An 8,292-nucleotide genomic window follows, 5' to 3' on the forward strand; every position below is an offset into this window, starting at 1 on the left:
TTCAGGAGGCAGAAAAAAATCTTCCCAAATGAACCCTTTAAATATGAAACGATCACCAGAGGCTAATTGAAACAACAGACAATTGAAACAAATTATGCATTCTTCCCTTAGATAAGAGACTTAAATCATAAATTCTTCAAGACTAGAAAGTGTGAAATAAATTGAAATGCAACTAAGTGTCAGAATTAATGATATTTCCAAGTTATTTATTGTGTAATCTCTTGAAATGCTTTGAGGTTTTGGGAACTCTGGATTTATCTTAATCAAATGTAAATAAATTAAAAAAAAAATTTTTTAACGTAGTCCTTATCGTTAGCTTCTCAATGCCTACCTGAAAATGCAAAATGCAAGCCTTTCTTTTTCTCTGCTTCCTGCCCCCACCCCGCATCAACCCATTCTTTCTTAACTAGCATTTGGTTTAGCAGTAGGGAGGACAGCATGACTTGCTTCAAACCATGCTAAATCATTTGGTTTAGCAGTAGCCTGGACAGCACCCCTTGCTTCAAAGCAACAAGTCAGTTCTATCTTCCTTTGCTATTATTATGTGAAATATATTGAAACAGATAATTATATTGAGTCTCATGCTGGAATCTGCATAATGTTCACAAAAATTTGCTGGTGCAGTCACCTCCAAGAGCTGAGGAACTGCTGCTGTTAATAAGTTGTTCAGTGCCAATGGACATTGACATGATTTGTTTGGTTGCCACTTTGTTCTGTCAAATAAGTCTGTGATTGGCTAACGTGACTGATGCATCCAAGGTCAGGGGCCTGCGATAGGACCTAGTGAGGGACATTGTGCATTTGTCTCCATTGATCTATTCAGCAGGACTCGATAATACTCTGACACATGTAGACACTGGGTAAATAAAAAAATGTTCCTATTTCTTGAGAAATAGTTGGAGCTAATGGGTGGCATAAAATGCCAAGTTCTTCTAAACAAATCAAACTTTATATTTCTTTTATAAAATTTTGGTTTAGATAGAACAAATATCTAGATATACTTTGAGATAAAACATACTTAAGTATGCAGATGCCAAAAGCTCAGTGGAACAATTTAACATGTTATAAAAGGAAGGTATATCATCTACCTTCAGAGTCATTGTCAATACTTTAATAATAAAAAAACCTGTTTATGAAACAGCAATTTATTAAAGATGAAAATGATACAGTATATATCTTCCCAAACTTCAGGGAAATTAATTCAACTTATTTCTTTGAGGTGGACTGAGATGTATCATTTGATTTGGTTTTATGTATTATAAATTCAAGAGAGAATCTCTGATCCTAATGCTACTTAATAGGAATCTAATTATCTAAAAATACTGAATAAAGAAAATGTGGCACATATACACTTTGGAATACTATGCAGCCATAAAAAAGAATGAGTTCATGTCCTTTGCAGGGACATGGATGAAGCTGGAAACCATCATTCTTAGCAAACTAACATAAGAACAGAAACCAAACACCACATATTCTCACTCATAAGTGGGAGTTTAACAATGAGAACACATGGACACAGGCAGGGGAACATCACACACCATGTCCTGTCGTGGGGGTGGGGGCCTAAGGGAGGGATAGCATTAGGAGAAATACCTAATGTAGATGACGGGTTGATAGGTGCAGCAAACCACCATGGCACCTGTATACCTATGTAACAAACCTGCACGTTCTGCACATGGATCCCAGAACTTAAAGTATAATTTTAAAAACTGTATATATATATGTGTGTGTATATATATATATATGTGTGTGTGTGTGTATATATATATATGTGTATATATATGTGTATATATGTGTATATATATGTGTATATATGTGTATATATATGTGTGTATATATATACATATATACACACTAGAAAGAAACAAACATGTCCTACAAAAATAATACATATATGTGGGTGTATATATATATATATATATATATACACACGTATGTATACGTGTGTATATATATATATATATATATATGTATATGTATATATACACTAGAAAGAAACAAAGAAACATGTCCTACAAAAATAAAAAGGTTAATTTAGTGCCAGAAGCAAACAATGTAGACTACCACTTCAGGACTCAAGGAATTTGCTAAATTTCCATTCCAATATTAGGCAAGAGTTTCTTGGAGATAAAAGCCGTGATTTCGTACGAGCTAGTGTCATGTCACACTATGTGTAAATCCACCAAGTTAATGTCATAATAAAGTTGTACAACTTCAAAGGAATTACATAAATAAGCAACCTTACCAAGAAATGCACTTCCTTATACATTAGTCAAGATCAAGTCCTGTGGTTGGAAAAATCAGTTATTTTCTGTTATAAAAATTTGGGTTACATTTTTTAAAATCTTACCATTAGGAAATGTCTGAGTGGGCATGTCTGACTTGATGAGCATATATTAAACCATCATGACTGCCTTGTATATGTTGTCTAGACTTGATTATAAATTCCAAAAAAAGCAGGAAAAGTGTATCATTGTAAGTTGAAATTCTAGGCCATTCTGCCAATATTTAAAGAAAATGAACCTTTTCTTAATTATAAAGTAAGCAAATGTCCCATTGGCATGTCTCATTTCACGTTCTTCATCTCCTCAGTACCTCTTTCTCCCCACCACCATTGCATATTTTGATATAGGCAATGCCTAAGCAAGTTTTAGCTGTAGCCATATGTCTGCCTTATGTTTTAACGAGCCACTCTTACTACTGCAGAAAACTAAAAGGAAAATAATAACTGAGTTTTTATATTTTGTCTTCTGCTAACTTTTATCGAAACTTCAATAAAGAGTTCATATAAAAATCTTTCTGTTGATAGCCAAGTAAGATGTGTAGTTTAGTTAACACTCTTTTATTATTTTTGATTTCCTGTTTTCAGTGATGTAAGATTTTATATTTACAGCATATTTATGTACATTACATATATACATTACATATTATATTTTATATTTACTGGGTGTAAAGTATAGAGAGACATTTGATTCCACTTCTTGTACATCTTAAATTATTTCAAAATAAAAAATGAAACCGTCTATTGCACACGTAGCGTTGGGCATGTTCACATGATATTACATCATTTAATTAAATTAATTTTAAAAAGGTAATTATTTTCTTATTCAGACAAATTGGTTTTTGTGAGGGGTCACACTTGAATTTCTAAATATTCTCATCAATAAATAAATGAAAAATCTATGGACCTGTGTCCATTCTGACAACAAAAATAATTATACTCCAAAAAATATTATCAATCAATCAGAAAAATCAGGTAATGTATTTCCACTGTAAGTCACTTTATCCTGACCAAAATAGGACAGTTCTGTTCTAACCTGCAACTCATTCCTCTTGATTTCAACTCCTAAGATTTTTTCAGATTCATTAGTTTTCTTGACTTTTTCATAGTCTACTTACATCAGCTTTGCCTAGAGACTGCCTTTGAATTGTTATTTGTACTTTTTGTCTTTCCTCCCTTATAATCACTTCCTCTTTCATAGTAATTTTAGTTTTCACACTGTAAATTGCTAGAAAATAGGAATTGAGATTATGTATTTGCTTTAGGTTGGGTTCCCTAAGATGTAATTCCTGAGACAAGAATTTGAATTTGAAGGGATCAGGAGAAGTACCTGTAGGGGAATGGCATCATGAAATAGGGAAAGGATACACAGCTCAATCTCTCTGTGAAGGAAGCAATGCAGAATATACCTCAGAGCTACCTATAGGGAGAGAAAACCAGGATGTTTATTTTTAAGTTGATCCAGCACTGGTGGAGGGCTGCTCCTGGGAAGGAGAAACTACTAGTAGTCCAGGAGTGGGTGAAATGGAAGAAGGATGTCAAGAAGAGTTTTTCATATTCTTGCAGTAAGCTGCTGTCAGCAACTATGTGACTGGTGAGGGCTGAGGGGAAAAAGGCAGATGTATTAGTTTGTTCTCATGGTGCTAATAAAGATATACCTGAGACTGGGTAATTTATAAATGAAAGAGGTTTAACTGGCTCACAGTTCCACATGTCTGGGGAGGCCTCACAATCATGTCAGAAGGCAAATGAGGAGCAAAATCACGTCTTACATGGTGGCAAGCAAGAGAGCTTGTGCATGGGAACTCCCCTCTGTAAAACCATCATATCTTGTGAGACTTATTCACTATCACAAGAACAGCAAGGGAAAACCCATCCCCCATGATTCAATTACTTCCCACCAGGTCCCTTGCATGACACTTGTGGATTATTGGAGCTGTAATTCAAGATGAGATTTGAGGGGAAACACAGCAAAACCACATCAGCATGTCAACAACAGTGTTTGCTATAACATTATTTTGCACACTATTGTCTAACACAATGCATGACATAACAGGCAGGAAAAAATTACTTATATTATAGCTCAAATGGTAATCTTTATATAAATGTAGCTTAGAAAGCAGTAGAAAAAATAAACCCCTAGGCATGCCAGGATACAACAGACTTATGGCAGGACATGTTGGCTCACACCTGTAATCCCAGCACTTTGGGAGGCTGAGGTGGGTAGATCACCTGAACTCAGGAGTTCCAGACCAGCCTGACCAACATGGCGAAACCCTGTCTCTACTGAAACTACAAAAAATTAGCCAGGAGAGGTGGTGCATGCCTGTAATCCCAGTTACTTGAGAGGCTGAGGCAGGAGAATTGCTTGAACCCAGGAGGCAGAGGTTGCAGTGAGTCGAGATCACACCATTGCACTCCAGCCTGAGCAACAAGAGTGAAACTCCGTCTCAAAAAACAAAACAAGAAAAAAAAAAACAGACTTATAACATTGGCCATGATCATTAGTAGATATATTTCTTGTCTCCGAAATAGCTACAGTTCATAAATTTTCCTCTTATTAGGAAGGTAAACATTTCCCAATATGGATGGGTTCAAGCTTTTTTTAAGCATGGAGGTTGAAAAGAACATAAATAATATTTTAGTTAAGGTAATACTTTTCAACCTCAAGCACTATTGCTTTTAAACTTACCTATTTTTGCCTCCAGTTTTATATTGAAATGTATTGTCATAGAGCTATGATGATAGATTATAACTTTCTTACAGGTAGCAATTGCATCTTATTCCTCTAGCATCTGTTTTGGACATACTAGGTGGTCAAACAAATGTGCTTCAAACTAATTTGTTATTAGATCTGGTTAACTCTATATGTTTGGCTTCAATCAAATAGAAGGCAGACATATCAGTCAAAAATGCACAGAAAAAAATAACAGTTAAAAACATTCATGTTCTCTTTCTACTCTTTTTATTCTATGATTATTCTTTCCTCAGCCAACTCATGTCCAAATACCAAAATACTTTTTTTTTTTTGGAGACTGAGTTTTCTTCTTGTCGCCCAGCTGGAGTGCAATGGTGCAATCTTGGCTCACCACAACCTCCGCCTCTCTGGTTCAACCCATTCTCCTGCCTCAGACTCCCGAGTAGCTGGGATTACAGGCCCATGTCACCACACAGGCTAATTTTTGTATTTTTAGTAGAGACGGGGTTTCACCATGTTGGCCAGGCTAGTCTTGAACTCCTGACCTCAGGTGATCCACCTACCTCAGTCTCCCAAAGTGCTGGTATTAGAGGCCCAAAAGACCTTTGCTTTTGGTATATATTTGTCTAACTTGAGCTTTTCATTACTTCACAAAAGCTCCTTCTGTTTCTGACGAAATAGGAGAGGGACTTCTAGGAGAATAGGAAAGTGATGTGCAACTTGAAAAGAGAGTGCTGAATTGTGTCACCTGGGCAATATAACACAGTGAAACTAATCAGGACCCTGAGAAGAAGTCAACTCTGTTGCCCATGATCTGAAATTGGTCCATGTCATACCCCATTAGGGTCAGTGGGCAGTGACAAAGGGGATGAACGTTGTAATCAGTGGTGCTGTGTTCTACGCTGCCACTTAGTTTCCTGATCTCTAAGTGTTATTTTCTTCATCTGTATCCATCTGATACGGTTTGGTTCTGTGTCCCCTTCTATAATTCCCGTGTATTGTGGGAGGGACCCGGTGCGAGATGATTGAGTCATGGGAGCGGGTCTTTCCGATGCTGCTCTCGTGATACTGAATGGGTCTCATGAGATCTGATTGTGTTAAAAACGAAGTTTCTCTACACAAGCTCTCTCTTTGCCTGCTGCCATCCACATAAGATGTGACTTGCTCCTCCTTGCCTTCCACCATGATTGTGAGGCCTCCCCAGCCATGTGGAACTGTAAGTCCATTAAACCTCTTTCTTTTGTAAAATGCCCAGTCTCAGGTATGTCTTTATCAGCAGCATGAAAACGAACTAATACAGTAAACGGGTACCAGTACAGTGGGATGCTGCTGTAAAGATACCTGAAAATGTGGAAGCGACTTTGGAACTGGGTAACAGGCAGAGGCTGGAACCATTTGGAGGGCTTAGAAGAAGACAGGAAAATGTGGGAAAGTTTGAAAGTCCCTAGAGACTAGCTGAATGGCTTTGACAAAAATGACAGTGATATGAACAATAAGGTTCAGGCTGAGATGGTCTCAGATGAAGATGAGGAACTTGTTGGGAACTGGAGCAAAGGTGAGTCTTGTTATATTTAAGCAAAGAGACTGGTGACATTTTGCTCCTGCCCTCAAGATTTGTGGAACTTTGAACATGAGAGAGATAATTTAGGGTATCTGGCAGAAGAAATTTCTAAGCAGCAAAGCATTCTTGGATGACTTGGGTAATATTAAAGGCATTCAGTTTTATAAGGGAAACAGAGCATAAAAGTTTGGAAATTTTGCAGCCTGACAATGCAATAGAAGATAAAATCCCATTTTCTGAGGTGAAATTCAAGCCAGCTGCAGAAATTTGCATAAGTAATGAGGCGCCAAATGTTAATCCCCAAGACAATGGGGAAAATGCCTCCAGGACATGTCAGAGGTCTTCATGACAGCCTCTCCAATCACAGGCTCAGAGCCCTAGGAGGAAAAAGTGGTTTCCTGTACTGGACCCAGGGTCCCTGTTCTCTGTGCAGCCTAGGAACTTGGTGCCTTGTGTCCCAGCTGCTCCAGCCATTGCTGAAAGGGGCCAACGAAGAGCTTGGGCTGTGACTTCAGAGGGTGGAAGCCTCAAGCCTTGGCAGCTTCCATGTGGTGTTGAGCCTGTGAGTGCACAGAAGTTAAGAATTGAGGTTCGGGAACCTCTGCGTAGATTTCAGATGTATGAAAACGCCTGGATGCCCAGGCAGAAGTTTGCTGTAGGGGCGGGATCCTCATGGAAAACCGCTGCTAAGGCAGTGCAGAAGGGAAATGTGGGATGAGAGCCCCCACATAGAGTCTCTGCTGGGGCACCGCCTAGTGGAGCTGTGAGAAGAGGGCCACCATCCTTCAGACCCCAGAATAGTAGATCCACTGACAATTTGCACCCTGTGCCTGGAAAAGCCACAGACACTCAATGCCAGCCCATGAAAGCAGCCGGGAGGGAGGCTGTAACCTGCAAAGCCACAGGGGCTGAGCTGCCCAAGACCATGGGAACCCACCTCCTGCATCAGTGAGATCTGGACATGAGACATGGAGTCAAAGGAGATCATTTTGGAGCTTTAAGATTTGACTGCCCTGCTGGATTTTGGACTTGCATGGGACCTGTGGCCCCTTTGTTTTGGCCAATGTTTCCCATTTGGAATGGCAGTATTTACCCAATACCTGTACCCCCATTAAATTTAGGAATTAATTAGCTTGCTTTTGATTTTACAGGCTTGTAGACAGAAGGGACTTGCCTTGTCTCAGTTGAGACATTGGACTGTAAACTTTTGAGTTAATGCTGAAATGAGTTAAGGCTTTGGGGGACTGTTGGGAAGGCAAGATTGTTCTGAAATGTAAAGATAAGAGATTTGGGAGGGGCCAGGGGCAGAATGATGTGACTGTTGGGAAGGCAAGATTGTTCTGAAATGTAAAGATAAGAGATTTGGGAGGGGCCGGGGCAGAATGATGTGGTTTGTCTCTGTGCCTCCACCCAAATCTCATCTTGTAGCTCACATAATTCTCATGTGTTGTGGGGGGGACCCAGTGGGACATGATTGAATCATGGGGTGAATCCTTCCCGTGCTGCTCTCATGATAGTGAATGGGTCTCACAAGATATGATGGTGTTAAAAACGGAATTTCTCTGCACAAGCTGTCTTTTTGCCTGCTACCATCCATGTAGGATGTGACTTGCTCCTCCTTGCCTTCTGCCGTGATTGTGAGGGCTCCCTAGCCAGGTGGAACTGTAAGCCCAATAAACCTCTTTCTTTTGTAAATTGCCCAGTCTCAGGTAGGTCTTTATCAGCAGTGTGAAAACAGACTAATACACCATC

General features: G+C 39.0%; 1 annotated feature.

Moving 5' to 3' along the window:
* Positions 6,633-7,134: an enhancer, noted in NCBI's record as "NANOG hESC enhancer chr14:87241177-87241678 (GRCh37/hg19 assembly coordinates)". NCBI's record gives its function as "activates a minimal SCP1, AML or CMV promoter by ChIP-STARR-seq in naive H9 embryonic stem cells {active_cell/tissue: H9 hESC(naive)}" and the evidence as "EXISTENCE:reporter gene assay evidence [ECO:0000049][PMID:30033119]".

This window comes from Homo sapiens, chromosome 14 (genome assembly GCF_000001405.40).
Source record: "Homo sapiens chromosome 14, GRCh38.p14 Primary Assembly".
Taxonomy (NCBI): Eukaryota; Metazoa; Chordata; class Mammalia; order Primates; family Hominidae; genus Homo; species Homo sapiens.